At 37.1% G+C, this 19,023-nt stretch overlaps 1 protein-coding gene across 16 annotated transcripts in view, besides 1 other annotated feature; it reads left to right on the top strand.

Annotated features, from left to right (window-relative positions):
- Positions 1-19,023, top strand: part of CACNA2D1 (calcium voltage-gated channel auxiliary subunit alpha2delta 1) — a 497,513-nt gene that overhangs the window by 23,278 nt on the left and 455,212 nt on the right. The window contains exon 1 of one of the 16 annotated variants that reach the window (XM_006716120.4): positions 10,042-10,179. The exons of the other annotated variants lie outside the window; for them this stretch is intronic. The gene's annotated coding sequence lies outside the window, so the exon portion shown is untranslated. Of the gene's footprint in view, positions 1-10,041; positions 10,180-19,023 lie in introns of those variants that run through there. 16 annotated transcript variants of the gene reach the window in all.
- Positions 8,887-10,374: an enhancer, noted in NCBI's record as "VISTA enhancer hs2419". NCBI's record gives its function as "enhancer in: somite[12/12] | limb[11/12] | branchial arch[9/12] | eye[10/12]" and the evidence as "EXISTENCE:transgenic organism evidence [ECO:0001131][PMID:17130149]".

Genomic DNA, 19,023 nt, shown 5'->3' with positions numbered 1-19,023 from the left:
CAATTATTCCTTTTAAAGTGTATCATAGAGAAGATTTTTAGCATTTTATAAGAGACAGAACTGGATTTCCACCTTATGTCTAGTTAAGTACATTTGTGAATACTTTTCTCATGCTTTTATCTGACAATGAGAGTGGTTCTGTTTCTGACCTTGGTAATGTGGTAGGTTAAAAGCAGTGCAAGTTTCATATTTAAGGGTGGAAAAAAAATCATGAGTTGGTAATGCATGAAAACTGGAAATTAAAAGATCTTTGGAATCCTCAATTAACATTACATGTAATTTAGTTTTGCATTTTGTAGATGCCAGGAAAATATCAGGAATGCTGGTCATTTATATTTCTGACCAGTCCTTCATCTCTCCTAAATTCAGACACAGCATGATGAATGTTAGACTATTTTATTTTAATTTTATAGAACTTGTTTGTACTTCATTGTGTAGTATTTGGTGACAATTCATAATTTTGACAAGGTAGGAGAATCGTATCAGAGAAACTTGACTGAACATAACTATTAATGTCTATTAAAATGCATCTATGGAACATAGTATTAACACACAATTAATGCAAAACCACTAATTTTTCTCACATAACCTAAGGCAGAATTTCTCAACCTCAGGACTATTGACATTTTGGATCAGACAGTTCTTTGAAGTGGAAGGGCGGGGGGCGCTGTCCTGTGCAATGTAGGATTTTAGCAGCGTCCTTGGCCTCTCTCTACATAGTAAATGCCAGTAAGCAATCCCTCCTCAAGTCATGACAATAAAAAATGTCACCAGATATCATCAGATGTCTCCTGAGGGGCAAAATCACCCGGGGTTGAAAACCACTGATCTAAGGTTTTACTTTAATGCAGATATCTAGTTGAATCTGCATAGTAAATTGACCCATGATACATGTTTCCGTGGCCAGTGGTGTCCAATTCTGGCTGATTCTCATAATCCTGATGTGGTGTTTGCATTTTGCTAAAGTTTTGTCACATCAGTGAGTTTTATTCATTAATTCCCAATAACGAATATGCTATTAAAACAGGTAAATTGGGTAGTTCAAATTATTTTCTAAATTAAGCTGTTAAATTTAGTGCTTGGTAAAGCAGGAAGTGTAATTATGTAATGTACAGTCAAATGTCCAGGGGTAAATTTCCCTTGTTCCTGGAGATCTGTGAATTTCCTGAAGGAAAATTTTGCAGTGAAACATGTCTTTAGCAGAAAGGTACTAGTGTCTGTTCTTTCCTGCTGGGTCTGGAGCGGAAATTAGGCTATCTATCCTGCCCATGTGCATAGTGCATAAAATGCTTTGTAGATATCAGGAAGGCTGGACAGTTGCCAGGGTGGCCTGTGGGCAAGCTGTAATTAACATGGACACACACTCTTGCTAAGGGTATTTGTTTCACCTGGGAAAGCTGCATAGTAAACTAATGAAGATTTTTTTTTCTTGGCTGAAAGTGCTTGGCTTTTTTCAGAGAGGTACAATTACAGAGACCCCAAAACAGTAAAATTACTTTGGGGACAGGCTCATGACAGTGTGACGCTTTACTTTTAGGCATGTAATGTTTAGTCTTTTTTTTTTTTTTTGAGATGGAGTCTTGCTCTGTCACCCTGGTTGGAGTGCAGTGGCGCGAGCTCGGCTCACTGCAAGCTCCGCCTCTCGGGTTCACGCCATTCTCCTGCCTCAGCCTCCCAAGTAGCTGGGACTACAGGTGCCCGCCACCGCGCCCAGCTAATTTTTTTTTTGTATTTTTAGTAGAGACGGGGTTTCACCGTGATCTCGATCTCCTGACCTCGTGATCCGCCTGCCTCGGCCTCCCAAAGTGCTGGGATTACAGGCGTGAGCCACCGTGCCCAGCCTAATGTTTAGTCTTATATGTGGCTCTGAAATTTTATAGGGCTGGCCTGAACTCTGATACACCAAAAACATCTTGGTGAGTATGAAAAGAATACCAGGTGTTTCTGTTGGTCTACTTTTTCTGTAAATGGATAATGCTTGTTGTCTTATAGGACAGTGCACTTACAAGAATGACACCACAAAGTGGTGTATTATAGAAACAGAAATCCCAGTGGTCACTGTCTACATTGGTGAGGAGGGAATGCTATTACATGAGGGAAAATGGAAGCCCAGAATCTCTGTTACTTTATTTATTTATTTATTTTTGCTTTATTCTATCAAAAAGTAATATCTTTTGCTTTATTCTATCAAAAAGTAGTATCTCTGCTTCTTTTTCTTCTTTCTACAAAGAAGAAATAATACAATATTTAACTTCTTTAGTTGATTGGCATTAATGAGGCTCTTAAATATTTCAGATGCATTCTACTCTTATTGTCTAATATGGTTTGGCTGTGTCCCCACCCAAATCTCATCTTGAATTGTAGTTCCCATAATCCCCATGTGTTGTGGTAGGGGGGACCAGGTGGAGATAATTGAATCAGGGGGCTGGTTTCTCCCATCCTATTCTAATGATACTCAGTTCGTTCTCATGAGATTTGATGGTTTTATAAGGAACTTCCTCCTTTGCTGGGCACTCATTTCTCTCTCCTGCTGCCATGTGAAGAAGGATGTGTTTGATTCCATTTCCACCATGATTGTAAGTTTTCTGAGGCCTCCTGGCCCTGTGGAACTGTGAGTTAATTAAACCTCTTTCCTTTATAAATTACCCAGTCCTGGGCAGTTCTTTATAGCAGCTTGAGAACAGTCTAATACATTGTCTTAGGAAAGACTAGAAAGACTCATGTTGATGTGGTTAGTGTCTCCTTTTAATATTGTCCTCTCCATAATACTTTTTTTGTATGTCATTTTATTTACAAAACGTAAATATGTTACATTCTCACTATATGCAAAATCTAATGCATTTTTCACACACTGATCTCCCCCTTTTTATAGGTACTCAATATTTATAAATGGGCAGAAGGATCTTTGCCTTTACCTTTCCTACTACAGACAAATTTGGTAAACGTGTATTCTATACCTACTATCATTTTATTTGAATTCGGCTCTTCCCCTTTGTTTACTGTCATGTTGGATGTGAGGGGCAAAATCACCCTGGGTTGAAAACCACTGATCTAAGGTTTTACTTTAATGCAGATATCTAGTTGAATCTGCATAGTAAATTGACCCATGATACATGTTTCCGTGGCCAGTGGTGTCCAATTCTGGCTGATTCTCATAATCCTGATGTGGTGTTTGCATTTTGCTAAAGTTTTGTCACATCAGTGAGTTTTATTCATTAATTCCTGATAACGAGTATGCTATTAAAACAGGTAAATTGGGTAGTTCAAATTATTTTCTAAATTAAGCTGTTAAATTTAGTGCTTGGTAAAGCAGGAAGTGTAATTATGTAATGTACAGTCAAATGTCCAGGGGTAAATTTCCCTTGTTCCTGGAGATCTGTGAATCCTCTGGTTTTTGCCTGTAGTCTAGCCTAATTGTTAATAGTGCCCTTTCACTCTCAAAACTGTTCAGGTCAGACAACAGATTTTGTGGTGGCCCTATGCTGAGGCTATCTCACTAATACATCTGCCATATGGTGTGATCTTTAGGAAATTTGGATTATATATTACTAATGTGTATATGTAACATGTAGTGAAACTATATATTTATCAACTTCTATACATATATGTAGATTGTAGATGTATTAACTTGAATAAACCACAATGACTGAGAAACACTTCTTGCCTCTTCATATGCTGGATCACTCTTTCCTTTACGTGCATTAAGAAATGGGATAATTACTATGTATTATATTCCACAATAGCAGTTTAAGAGTTTTAAACAGCTGTAAGTAGCCAAGTTATGCAAACCGTTAATATCAAGAACAATCCTAATTTAGGCATTACATATGAGACTGCTGTCGAGTACCCACATGGGTTGACTTGTGCTCCCCCAAAATTCCTGTGTTGAATTTCTAACCCCCAGTACTTCAGAATGTGACCTTATTTTGAAATTGGGTCTTTGCAGATGTAACTAGTTAGGATCAGATCATATTAGAGTAGGGTGGGCCCTTAATTCAATATGATGCATGTCCTTATAAAAAGGAAGAATTTGGACACAGACATGTACACAGGATCATTGCTATAAATAGAGAGTGCATGTGAAGGCTGGAGTTATGCTGCCATACACCAAAGAATTACTAGTAGCAAGGGGAGAGAACTTGAACAGATCTTCCCTGAGAGCTCTCAGAGGGAGTATGACCCTGCCGACACCTTAATTTCAGACTTCTAGTGTCCTGAACCCTGAGACAATACATTTATGTTGTTTTAAGCCACCTGGTTGACAATAGTTTGTTATGGTAGCCTGAGCAAACGAATCCAGACATCATTACCTTCTTTTTGCTGCTCTGTTGGGATGCTCATGACATCACTATTCAGTCATTTAAGGACTGGTGGAGCATACTGTCATATACCACAATTATTACAATGATTACATTTTAAATGAGATTTTTAAATTCTTTATTATTATTATTATTATTATTTTTTGAGACAGAGTCTCGCGCTGTTACCCATGTTGGAGTGCAGTGGCACGATCTCAGCTAACTGCAACCTCTGCCTCCCAGGTTGAAGTGATTCTCCTACTTCACCCTCCCGAGTAGCTGGGATTACAGGTGCCCGCCATCACGACCAGCTAATTTTTGTATTTTTAGTAGAGATGAGGTTTCACCATGTTGGTCAGACTGGTCTTGAATTCTTGACCTCAAGCAATCCACCCGTCTTGGCCTCCCAAAGAGCTGGGATTACAGGTGTGAGCCACCTCACACCTGTAATTCTAAAGGAATTCTAAAATAATTCCTTTATTTAGTATTCAATCTTTCCTGTGTTTGGATTCCAAAATATGATCTTTTACTGGCTATGTGTACACATACTGATCTACACACACTGATTCATCCATCTTGCTTTTCTTCTGGGCATTTTTTTCTCTTATAAGAAAATATACATTAATTAAATTAAGATTAATCTAAATCTAAAGCAGTAAGCCTGATTAAAGAAAAAAAAAAGATGCAGTGCATTAAGCTAAAGACAAAATTCAAAGTCTTATGTGGCACACAGCCTATGACTGGGTAAGAGTCATACATAACCTACCTGACCAGAGCGAGAATACATGCAATGTTGCCTGTTTATTAGGTCCTACAGACCAAAATTTCAGGGTTTTTTTTTGTTTTTTTTTAGATGGAGTTTCACTCTTGTCGCCCAGGCTAGAGTGCAGTGGCGTGATCTCAGCTCATTGCAATGCCTCCTGGGTTCAAGTGATTCTCCTGCCCCAGCCTCCCAAGTAGCAGGGACCACAGGCACCCACCACCATGCCCAGCTAATTTTTGTGTTTTTAGTAGAGACGGGGTTTCATCATGTTGGCCAGGCTGGTCTGGAACTCCTGACCTCAGGTGATCCGCCCATCTCGGCCTCCCAAAGTGCTGGGATTACAGATGTGAGCCACCATGCCAGGCCATTTTCAGGTATTTTTATGCAACTTGCAGACTTCATGCCTAGGGATTTTTTCTAGCATTCTTGGACAAAGAGATTTGTATCTGATGTGTCTTCCTGTACTCTTCTGTGGTGCAACCACAGGGGATCTGCTCCAGGTTTGGAAAATGTGTAATGGGTGAATAGGATAATTCTTGTCAGACAGATTTCCCAAGAAATAAAGAGAAACGTTAGGCTTTTAAAGACTTGTTTAATAAAAAAGGGAGCTAATTTAGAAAGTTGTTTTTCTTCTTCCCCTAAATAAGGTAATGTGAGAATAGTTCCTTCTATTTTGGGACATTTTAAGTTAAGATAATATGAATTTGTTAATATGTGCATTGTCAGAATGATAATGATGTGATTATAAGTATGAATGAGTAGCTATAACCAGTGCACTAAACAGTCAATTTTACGGAGGTGTCCACTTCTAGGGTGTATGGACATGTAGAATCAAAGTCCAGGCTCACTTTGAGCTGTTAGTGCTGGCTGTTGAGTGTTAAGTTCAACTTCTTGAAGAAGATATTTTTACAATAAACATTCTGGACACATACACCTCCTTCGAATGGATCAGAATCACTTGTAGCCTGAATCAATGTGGTGTGCCTTCTCTTTCAGGACTTGACACTATGTTTACCCTGGCCTCCCTGGATGGAATGCTCTATACATGCTTTTAATACTCACTGCTGCTCTTGCTTCCCACAAATTAGTATGCAATAGATTATTGTCCATAGTTAGGTTTAGTAGGTCTTCCCACTATTTATTTCTTTCGCCACGTTTGTTTCATGTTTCCTTAACCACTTCTGTAATATGTGTGTGGGGTCAGATGTGATTGTGGCATTTCATACTAGCCAGGGGTCCTTGGGTACAGCAATAAACATCTCTGAGTCTCTATTCCTCATCAGTAAAATGCATTCAAATTCACTCTCTTCTCTAGCACCATGTGTTGTTGTGACTTTCAAATGAGGCAATGTATATGTGAATACTTTGAAGACTGTAGAGCACAATGTTTACATGTGATATCAGGCTATTCATCTTTTTCAGTAAGCCATCATCTTGGAATTTATACCATTAATCTTGCCTTTAGGTTGGTGAATGGGCTGCTTGAGGACTGCTTTTTCTGAGCTCATCTTGTAATTGAAATGAAGTTTGGACATCATTAGAAGTGATGAAGTGCAGACACCAGTAATTGCATGCTATGATTTTGCTACATAAATAGCCTCCAGGTTTATTTGTTGACCAACTAAATAAAATTTTGACTGTATTATTATTACATCTCAGATTATTATTCTAGTACTTCATTAGTTAAACTTTTATTCAGGATAGTATATCATTAATAAAATAATTCATGGTATATTTTCATTTTATATATATATTACATTCTGTATTAGTGAGTATATATGTGTGTATATATTAATCAAATAATTTAATAAGCATTTCCCATCATAGTTCAAGCAGTATTTAGTCTCTGAAGAAACAAAGCCAATAGAACAAGATTGTTTCTTAGATCACTTATAGGCTCATTTTAACAATAATTAACACATTAAGTATTTACATCTACCACCTTAAAAGCTTTATATTTTTCCTAAATTACTTTGTCTTTACAAAGGATTTGACTGCAATTAAGACTCATTGTTTATAATGGAGCTGTTTGGGAAAGAATGGTAATATCTCAACAAATGTTTTTCTGCCAAGTATGAATAATAGAACAAGTCCATTTATTTTCCTAAGGAATGATGGGGCTTGAGAGCCAAACCCAATGTCAGCCATTGTCCTGGGGCTCCCCAGGGAGATGTGGGTCATGAGAGTGAAGCTCTGCAGCCAGGCAGAGGTGGGAAGACTCTGAAGAGGCACTTCACAGCCCTGGCCTGAAAATGCAGACACAACAATTCTTTGGCAGAGAAACCAGGGCATGAGTAGAAATAAACTTGCTGATAACCCATTTTCCTTGGGTAAATGTTAAATATTAGAGATGAAAAATTAATAAATTAATATGAAGTTTCTTTTGCACAGATATAAAAATTGTTCCTCAGACAAAATATAAAAGATTAAAAGCGATTGACTAAGAAATGTTCAATTACGAACTACTTGGAGATGTTATATGAGAAATACTGAGGTAGTCTTATCAAAATCTGTTCGACATGAAAACATAGAAATAATATATAGATATGGGACTAATTCAAATAATAGTACTTCTCTAATTTTTAAGATTAAATTATTACAGTTAAGAGAATTTAGCAAACTAAATACTTTTAACAAACTGTTAATGCTTATTTGAATGGCTTATAAACACTTTAGAGCTTTCTCCTTTTGTCATTTGAGAAAAATAACGGGAAATGTTTCTGTTATTAATTCTGAATTAATTCTGAATTTAACAAAATGTTTTGATAATTTCAAGGGAGATGTATAATGTTCACTCTAAATAGACTTTTTGAATATCAAGTACTTTTTAACATAGATTTCTGCATAATTTTCACCACTTAGACCAAGAATTGATGATTTTCTGATCAGATCGTGATATTTTCTGATTAGAAAATCATCAATTCTTGGTATATCTTTCAGAAATAAACTGAGCAGTTACCAAGAGACTAACAAATGATTTCCACATTCTTTGAGAACCAAATCAGAGGAAATGGTTTAAATAGTTACAAGCACTAGGCCGGGCACAGTGGCTCACGCCTGTAATCCCAGAACTTTGGGAGGCTGAGGCGGGCAGATTACTTGAGGTCAGGAGTTCGAGACCAGCCTGACCAGCATGCTGAAACCGCATCTCTACTAAACATACAAAAAATTAGATGGGCTAGTGGCCCGTGCCTGTAATCTCAGCTACTCGGGAGTCTGAAGGAGGAGAATCGCTTGAACCCTGGAGGCAAAGGTTGCAGTGAGCTGAGGTTGTGTCTTTGCACTCCAGCCTGGGTGACAAAGCAAGGCTGTGTCTCAAAAAAAAAAAAAAAAAAAAGTTACAAGCACTGATAGCTTTGAACACAGTTACAAATATGTAAGTGAAGCCCTGAACAGTTTTTGGAAGACTGATCAAAGTGTCTAGATACAAATACATGTGAGATATGGCCTGTTTTTTGTGTTTTTAATGCACAGATAACATTGTATATATTTATTATGTACCTGATGTTTTGAAGTATATATACAGGCCTGGTGTCTTGATCAAAGTTTATATTTAAAAATGACTTGTCATGTGTTTGGTGACACCTATGTGGATGGCAGCTCAGCAGCACCATTTGAGATTTAGGTAAAGTGGTAATGATTAACTATGAAAGAGGGTTTTTTGGGGATTTGCAAATCCAGATAATGGGGAGTGTGTGTGTGTGTGTGTGTGTGTGTGTGTGAGATTTAGTTTTCGTTTGGCTTGAGGTAAGGAGTTTAACATCCTGAGGTACTCTGAATTGCTGTGAATTTTTTTTTTACTTCTCAGCAAATTTAGACATGTCCTGTGCATGCCTATTGCGAGAAATGCCTTAAAATGCAGAAGTGTCTCCAGTGAAGACTGCTACTCAGGAAAAATTCCCCAAGATATTTTCTACTTCTAGTTCTTCTGCTCCATATACCAGAAAGAATGGGAAGAGGCAAGGTGTCCGCATACCTGTATGGAGAATAGGCTTTGAGGTTTTAGATTCTTGGATGTACATATAGGTGCTTATTTTAAAATGTCAGCAATATATTTTAAATAATATTACTTCTTTATCTTTTGAATCATCAGCTGTTTATTTGGTTAACAATTTGTTGTTAGCAATAATAATAATTGGTGTCATCTATTGAGTACTAGATACCAAGCAGTATGGTAGTGTTTTGCTTATATTATTTAATTCTGGTCTCAATTCTATAAAACAGGGAAATATGTTATTTTCGTTTTTATAAATGAAGACACTGAAGTATTGAGCAGTTAATAAATCACCTGTTCTGGACTATATAGACAGTAATAGTGGGGCAGGGCTATAACTCAGGTCTATCTGATTTCAAACTTTCTCTCAACCACTACATTGCATTCCCCTCTCACGCAGAGCTGCTCAGGCACCAGATTATTTAAAATAACATTTATAATAAATATGGCCTTACTTGGAGGGCCATTAAAAGATGTTGCTAACAAGTTCATACTTTCACTTTCTCTAGGCTAGTGATTGTTACCTGGAAGACACTCTCTAGATAAAGGAATGGCTTTTAAAACTCTTGCTTCTCTCAAAGAATATATAAAGTATTAAAGGAATAAACATTTTGTTTTCCAGAATAATACATGTGAAAAAATATCTTCAAAGTGAAATAGGCAAATGAATATCAAAGAAGCTTATTTTAGAATGTAATCCTATGAGAGAGAGGGCAGTCTCGAAAGATTAAAAAAGATTCCTTTTATGATTATGAATTTGAAACAGCTGGAATGAATGCAGTCATGAGGATCATTTCTGAAAGTGAGGGATATAGAAAGTTAAAAGACTCATCGCTTGGTACTGAGATCACCTGCTTCGTAACAGACAGAAATAGAAGAGTACAAGTGTTAAGAATTCATTCTGCCTTCCCCGTGCTTTTGTCGCTTTATTTTTAGAGCTCTGCTAGCAGCAGTTGGGAGCAGGATTTGCCCTTACGCGCCTGCTCAGTCAGACTCGCCTTCTCTCTTGCAGTCTGCCTCCCTTGACAGGTGTGAGGGACTTCCTAAGTGTCGCAAGCCAGCCACCTGGCATCAGCCACCCCTGATGTAGCGTGCACCTTCAGACCACTGAGCTCATGAAAGAGGTAATTTTTCTACTGCCTGTTAACATGCGTTAGTTTTTTCTTAAGGCTAAGCCAATCAGAATGAAAGATGTTGGATAGATAGCAGTACAGAAGTGATAAACAATATTTAATAAAAATGGATTAGGTAAACCGCTATGATGGATTGATTCATAAGGAAAGGATGAAAAGGTATATTTTAGGGCCTCCCCTACACAACCTAAGCAGATATTGTAAAAGTCTCAAATCACACAAACATACCTTTTCTTGTAATAAAGTAGAGCATCTTTTTTTCTACTAAAATTCTGCATGTGTGTTTATGTTTCTGAAGAAACTAGAGGAACTATTACTTAGAGGTTTATCTAAAGCATGCTACTCAGGAGAAAAGTAAGTGTAATAGTTTAAGATGCACGGTTTCAAATACATGCACCAAATAATGACATTTTATTCAATGATGGGCCCCATATATGGCAGTGGTCCCATGAGATTATAATACTTTATTTTTCTGTAGCTTTCTATGTTGACATATGTTTAAATATACAGACACTTATCATTATGTTACAGTTGCCTACAGTATTCAGTACCGTAGCGTGTTGTTTGTAGCCTAGGAGCAGTAGGCTATACCATACAACTTAGATGTGTAGTAGGCTATGCTATCTAGGTTTGTATAAGTACACTCTATGATATTTGCACAATGACAAAATCGCCTAACAATGCATATCTCAGAATGTATCCCTATCATTAAGTGTTGCATGACTGTATTTAAAACCCAGAAAACGATAGTGTGCGAAAGAGACCTTAGGCAATGATTTTCTCAGGAACTCTCAGCAATCACATTGTACATTGGAATTACGAGAGGTACAGTGGCTTTATACCACAGATACACATTTGAATCGCCTGGGGAATTTAAAAAAGTTACCAGCGCCTTGGCCCTACCCTAGAGATGAGGATAATTGGCCTGGCATTGGTATTTTTAAGAATTTACCCAGATGATTTTAGTGTGTAGCCAAAGTTGAGAATCACTGAATAGGAGAACCTAACAGTAACTAGTTTCTGCTTTTGCCAATACTTGCATCATGTTGGGTACCACACTTTATTTCTTCATATTTCAGTTTCCTGTATTAAGAGGCTACCAGAAGAAATAGACCTTTAAAAAATTGGGGAACTCTGTAAGGTGCATTCAGAATTATTTACATCCACATATATTTGGCTTGCATGACTTGCAGAAAAAACATTTTAAAATGTACTAACATAATTGAAAAAAAGTCACAAGACTTTCAGTATCTGATAATCTACAAGTAATAGTCACTCAAATGTTGGTTGAATACCTACTATATAGAAGGCACTGGAAAGACTATGGATTTTGGCCTTTTATTTGTTCTCAAGTAATTACAAGCTGGGGAACTTATAGATATAGCCAAAGAAATAATTAATATTTCAAAGCTGTGTGTGCCTCACAGCTAGGTACAATAGTTCAATAATGAATGCAAAAAAAAAAAGAGTGACAACTCTGGGCTCATGAGGTCACAGAGCCTTCACAGAAGCTATGACATTTATGAAGTTAACCGTGTTGTTGGTTTGCCATCCTCCCCATCACGTCTTTTCTCTTAAAGCTTTAGTATCTTTGAAGCTTTGTTGGTAGCTTAAAATTGCCTTAAATTGTCTTCTCTGTGTACATAAAATTTCTTGGGACCATCTGTAATTAGTTGACTACGCTGTGTTTACAACTGCCTGGTACCTGAATACGGTGCTTATGTAAAATGGTAGCTTTCAATTTGACTTACAGAATGGAATAGGATTTAGGCCCAAGTACAATAGGGTGGATTTTCCAGTCCAAGGTTAGAAGGAAGAAAACACTAAACAAAAGTAGAAAGTATACAACTTGATTGAAAAAAGAGAGAAAGTTATCTCAACAGTATCAGAGTACATGTCCAGGATCTGTTCTGTGCCGTATGTGCTAAGTGTATCTTTATTATTATGTTTACAACTTCCCCCAGGTATTAATTACCTTTATTTAGTAAAAAGAGAGGTTCAAAGAGTTTCATATATTCAGATGTCATACAAAGTATCATACATTAGTAAGTCAGGTTTCGTGTACTGTCCCAGCAGCCATTCTGGTCTCAAAAGCATTGTTCTTCTCACTCTGCTGTGCTGCCTTGTGTAAAGGGATATGAGAGGAGATAAAAAGAAAGTAAAAGGAAAGGCCAGGCACTGAGTCACATACCTGTAATCCCAGCAGTTTGGGAGGCCGAGATGGCAGACCACTTGAGGTCAGGAGTTCGAGACCAACCTGGCGAATATGGTGAAACCCCGCCTCTACTAAAAATAAAAAAAAATTAGCTGGGCATGGTGGTGGGTGCCTGTAATCCCAGCTACTCAGAAGGCTGAGGCACAAGAATTGCTTGAACCTGGGAGGCGGAGGTTGCAGTGAGCCAAGATCATGCCACTGCACTCCAGCCTGGGCAACAAAGTGAGACTCAGTCTCAAAAAAAAAAAAAAAAGAAAGTACAAGCCGGGTTGTGTAGTCCTTTTAATGCAAAGAATATATTTTATTCTGATGGAAGTTGGGAGCCATTGAAGATTATTGAAGGAGGAATATCTTCTAGGTATTTTAGAAGATAATCTATCAGGGATAGATGGGCTATATCTATTAGGCATAGAATCCCTAATCTATCAGGGATAGATGGGCTATATCAGTTCAATAGAAATGATTATTTGTTCAAAAATGATTTATTGAACAAATACTATGTTCTACAGTGTCTAGTCCCCAGGAATAGAGTTGCATTAATTAACACTTATCCAGAGAACTCTTATTTAATACACTATAGTATGTAAAGTGCAGATGCTGTGTCTTATTTATCTTTCTCCCACCTAAATTGTCTAAAAATAATAATTTTTGCAATTTTCCAACTGTATGTCAATGCTGTTGTTACTAATAAATTGTATTTGGAAATCTTCATGAATTTATAATAGCATAAATTGGTATCATTGTTAAAAGGAATCTTCATTCAAAAATTTTAGCAAGCATTGCTCTTACTAGACATTTTTGTGACCAATGTGCAGACCATCAAGAAAAAAATCAATTAATAAATAACAGTAGTAGTCTTTCAATATTTGAGAGATAGAGGATTACATTTTATAGAAGTAAAGAAATATTATGAGTCATTTGGTGTACTCATATCTTACTTTGCTTATTTAGTGATATGAGAAGCTCTAACCCAAGGAAAGATATTCAAATATGGTTGTCAAATTCATTTTCTACTTCCTCTTTGGATTTCAAATGCATTTTCATAGTCTAGCAAAGTGAGCTCACACACCTTATATGTGTGCTCTCTGGTAAGCAGATGTCACAGAATTCACTTGAGCAGAGTTGAAGACACCTGTCAGGCAGTTGTTAATTTGAGCCGTGCTGCAACTCTTTGTCTATATCAATCACATTCTTTGGTGGGACAGAAAACTGTCATTAACAGATCTGCCAGTAAGGCCTCTTTATCATATTTATAGAGGGGTAGTAAGTAGGGTAATTAATTGTTATGATAGTGTTTATATATGTGGACCTATCATATGAAATTACTAAAACATACATTGATTCATTATAGTTATTGAATATTTATTTTTTGGGAGGAATTATCTGGATAAAGTTGAAAAGAAAGTGGAAAGCATAAAATTAACAAATTAATGAGACAAAAAAATTCTAAGATTGAAACAGATAAAGACTTGTCCCCAAAACTAATATCCAGAATCTACAAAGAACTTAAACAAGAAAAACTGACAAGAAAAAATCAACCCGATCAAAAAGTGGGTGAAGGATATGAACAGACACTTCTCAAAAGAAGACATTTATGCAGCCAACAGACACATGAAAAAATGCTCATCATCACTGGCCATTAAAGAAATGCAAATCAAAACCACAATGAGATACCATCTCACACCAGTTAGAATGGCAATCATTAAAAAGTCAGCAAACAACAGGTACTGGAGAGGATGTGGAGAAATAGGAACACTTTTGCACTGTTGGTGGGACTGTAAACTAGTTCAACCATTGTGGAAGACAGTGTGGCGATTCCTCAGGGATCTAGAACTAGAAATGCCATTTGACCCAGCCATCCCATTACTGGGTATATACCCAAAGGATTATAAATCATGCTGCTATAAAGACACATGCACATGTATGTTTATTGTGGCACTATTCACAATAGCAAAGTCTTGGAACCAACCCAAATGTCCATCAGTGATAGACTGGATTAAGAAAATGTGGCACATATACACCATGGAATACTATGCAGCCATAAAAAATGATGAGTTCATGTCCTACTTTGTAGGGACATGGATGAAGCTGGAAACCATCATTCTGAGCAAACTATTGCAAGGACAGAAAACCAAACACCGCATGTTCTCACTCATAGGTGGGAGTTGAACAGTGAGAACACTTGGACACAGGGTGGGGAATACCACACACCGGGGCCTGTCGTAGGGTTGGGGGAGGGGGAGGGATAGCATTAGGAGATACACCTAATGTTAAATGACGAGTTAATGGGTGCAGCACACCAACATGGCACGTGGATACATATGTAACAAACCTGCACGTTGTGCGCAGGTACCCTAGAACTTAAAGTATATATATAAAAAAAGATTTGTCCCCCAAAAGCAGTAAAATGAACACCAAAGCTATGATTTCTGAGCCAGGGCTCCTCAAAAATACATTCTTTTCTTTTTGTATGTAGCACAGGCATCTAAACTATAAACCCAAAGTGGAAAGAGTGAGGATGTGACACACTTTGATGATGGGTTGGAGAATGTATTCCACCAGACACCACTCAAACTATAATCCCCACACTTGAAAAGTAGTTCCAATTGTACAGTCATGATAATTTGCATTTTTTTAATATGTAAGTACATATATTATGTATACTTGTCATTCCTCGGAATCTCCTTCTAACTTTCACAGATGCATTTCTGTTAATCATTCAGCCACAGTATGATTTCCTAGACTTTGTCATTCATTTTCCTACTCAGTAGCCTCCTGTAAGATCAGTGTTAATTTTTCCCAGGGATGTTGCAATGTCTTTACTTAGAAGTAAAGTAATTTCTCCCAGATTTGTAAGTGTGATCCCATTGGTATAAATTTAGCTCATTTGAATGCCTTAATTTAGTTAGATATCTACATTTTTAAACCTTAATTTTATGTCCTTTTATTAGTAAAAGACCATTCTAAGGCTATTAACAGATTTGATACATACATTTAAAAAGAAAGTGTGTTAACCATCTATTTTTTTATGTTACTACTATTGTCTAATTAGGCATACATCTTCACTTGTAAATTGAGAGCATTTATTGTCCTCCATTACTGAGCATGTTTTGTGTCCAGAAATCCCAAGAACAGTGACTTCTAAATGAGTAATTAGATAATTTTAAAAATGATAAAGAGAATATCAGTATTATTTGCTAACTCATTTTACCTCAACAAAAGTTATCATAGTACCAAAAAAGTTGTATTTAACCATTTTTGAAACATTCTAGCTCAATGAGAATAACTCTCAAAATGAGCTAAATCAGGAAAGTGTCTTACATGCTTTAGATTCTGCTATTCAAACTCTACGCACTGTCCCAAGTAAATATAAATTTAGTACTTGAATGACAGCAACAAATGCTGAAACCTAACCCTAAATTCTTAGTACTCTAATGGGCCATATTTGGCAAATCACTTCTCTCTCTCGACTCACTGATCCAGCAAATATCTTTTTTGTTGACTACAGAGTGACACTGCATGAGACACAGGGTACAGTTTTATGATTTTCTTTTCTGCAGTTGTAAAATTAATAGTATTGACTGGGGTCTGAAATAATGAGTTAGTTTTAAAAAGTTACCAAATGGTGCCAAGTGTGGAATTAGAGTTTTGCTTTAAACAAAATTCTTTAATGCATTACAAAAACAAGTGTGCAAGAAATGTAACTAAATTTATTCCCCCACAGTTGAGCTTCATTTCAACCTTGACCCCTTCTTAACCATCTCAGAAGAAAACTTAAGCTAGTTAACAATTCACCTAAACTCATTTAAGGATTCTTCCCTAACTTATTTGAACCAGGGGTGTCAATTAAGATCTGGGGAAGGCCTAAACAGTTCCAGGCTTCGGAAAGAAAGGGTTCATCTAGCATCCTTTGAAATGAAGCCAATCTGTTCTGACCTTTGTCCCTACTACAGATCCCTCGCTCTCCATGTTCCTGCCGTGCCCTCTTGGATGCACATGTCACTCTGTGTCCTCATTGCAACCAGAAGTTTCCTGCAGGTGATAGGGCTTTATCGGCTCTTTCCCTGTCTTTCTTTTGGCTCCAGAGTTTCCAGAACTTATTTAGAACTCCCATCCAAGATTTTGACTCTTTGGTCTGTGTTCCTTGGTGTCGTCCTTTGGCTACTGAGTTGCTGTAGAGATTGGGGTGAGAGGCAGATAGAGGAAGAGGAAAGTGAATTCTTAGTTAACACTGCTAGATTTTCTTCGTTCACATTTATGAAAACTATTCACTACTTACATTTTAAATATAGTTTCTCATATAGCCTGAATATTTACTTTGTCATTACCTCTGGTAAGGAAGTGTAGTTGGATTTGGATGATATTGGAAGCTCAATCCTAAAAAGTTTGTCCATTGTAGAAAAATACTTTTGTCTTTCAGATGTGACTTCATAAAAACTTCATCCTGCTACGTAGTGGAACAATTAGCCACTGTCAGCCTTGGAAGGAGATTGAGGAGGACACTGGGATTGCTTCCCCAGCATTAATTCCGGTCTTCCCCCATGATGTAGTATCCATATAGTTTGGGGTAGGGGTGCTGATTCCATGTTAATCAGTGAAATCTCTTCAACCTTGACAGTGGTGGGTGTGACACCCAAGTGCTTCTAGAAAGATGCCTAGCACTATTGTTCAGTAAGTAGCAAAGAGAATATTTCTTTTCTGGGTTTTGTGGGATGCAGATATAAAATTGGGGATTGCTACATGATTTTGCTACCCTAAGTGAAACCATGATGACATGATACAAGGAAGAAGACAAGTTGAGAACAATTGGAGAGAAAGAGAACTGGAGTCCTAACTAAACTACACTTGAAAGTCCACCTTACTTTTAGAGACTTTACAACCGACCAAAAAGAGTTTACATTACTTGTATAAGCAATTTGAGTTTTTTGTCTTTTGCTACCAAAAAAATTCTAACTAATACAAAGATATACTTGCTAACAATTCTCAAATGTATTACCTCCAAAATCTTTCTCTAATCAGTCTGGTCATCATTTCAGGCCCACTGGGTTTCTTGACTTCAGTATCACCAAGATGTATTTAAGAAGTTCAAACTTAGACCCCTTTTTATCTCCGTCCTCTCTTCTCCCAGTCTTCTCCCCTTACCTTTCTTTTCTTTGCTAATAGTGTCACCCTCTAGATATTCTAAGTTAGAACATTTAGAATTCGCTGAATACTCCCCTTTTTATGCCCTTCCATTCCCCTTCCACCCAAATTTAGTTGGCTACCAGGTTTTTCTTATCCTACTTTTAATTTTTCCACTGTTACTGGCTAAGGTCAAGCCTTTGCCACATTTTAACTAAATTATAGCCTTTCGTTATTATAAATAATAATCTATTATCATTCTGCCTCCCAACCCCAATGATCTGTTCTCCACACTACAGTCTACAATTTAAAAAAACCCGTAACTTCTGATCATGTCCCCTCTTTATTTTAAAACATTCAGTTGACTTGTTTAAAGGATAATATTCAAACTCTTTAACCTCAACCTATTTTACTTCTTCTTCTTTTTTTTTTTTTTTTTTTTTTTTTTTGAGACAGAGTCTTGCTGTATTGCCCTGGCTGAAGTGCAGTGATCTGGGCTCACTGCAACCTCCGCCTCCTGGGTTCAAGCGATTCTCCTGCCTCAGCCTCCCGAATAGCTGGGACTACAGGCACCCGCCATCACGTCTGGCTAATTTTTGTATTTTTAGTAGAGATGGGGTTTCACCATGTTAGCCAGGATGGTCTCGATCTCCTGATCTTGTGATCCACCTGCCTCAGCCTCCCAAAGTGCTGGGATTACAGGCATGGGCCACTGCACCTGGCCCACTTCAACAGATTTTTTCAAGTCTCTCCTTCTATCTTCATTCTGGTCTTGCTCTTATTTTAAAAATAGGAATAATATTAATAAGCCCACAGATTTATTGTGAGGGTTAATAAAGATGATGTGTGAAAGTATCTGGAACATGGTACGTTCTGAATTTTATGGTAATTGCTACTATCTGCTGATAAATAGCAATTATTTGCCAAATGCTGCCTCTCTGACTTTGCATATGCTGTTCCTTTGCCTATTCTTTCCCAGCCTCCTTGTGAATGTCATCTTCTCTTTCAGAATTCAGATGATTTCTTCCCTCTGTGATTTCTCCAGCAATCAATAGCTCTATCATGTAATCTTCACATTTTGTCAATCAGTTAGTAGCATTTATCACATCGTATTGCCATAGTTTTTAGGAAAAGATAGCCTTTCTTTACTGAGTTCTGTGAAAAAAGAAACTAAACCCTGTCTACCTCTCTAAAATTACAACTCTGCTTTCGCGCTTTCTATCCCATTTCCCAATTTTATTTTTTTTCTTATGCATGTAAATACTAAACACTATATGGTTTACCTATTTGTCACATTTTCTGTCTTCCCCATTAAAATGTGTGTTTTACTAGGATGGAAACTTTTGCCTTTTTATTCACTGATGTAGTTCCAGTCTCTAGAAGTCAGCATTTTGAGGGAATAAATGAATGTCTTATTTATCTTTTCATTTCTTTTTTTTTCTTTTATTATTATACTTCAAGTTTTAGGGTACATATGCACATTGTGCAGGTTAGTTACA

Source organism: Homo sapiens, chromosome 7, assembly GCF_000001405.40.
Source record: "Homo sapiens chromosome 7, GRCh38.p14 Primary Assembly".
NCBI lineage: Eukaryota > Metazoa > Chordata > Mammalia > Primates > Hominidae > Homo > Homo sapiens.
The sequence above is the reverse complement of the archived record's forward strand: the minus strand, read 5'-3'. Positions and strand labels throughout refer to the sequence as shown.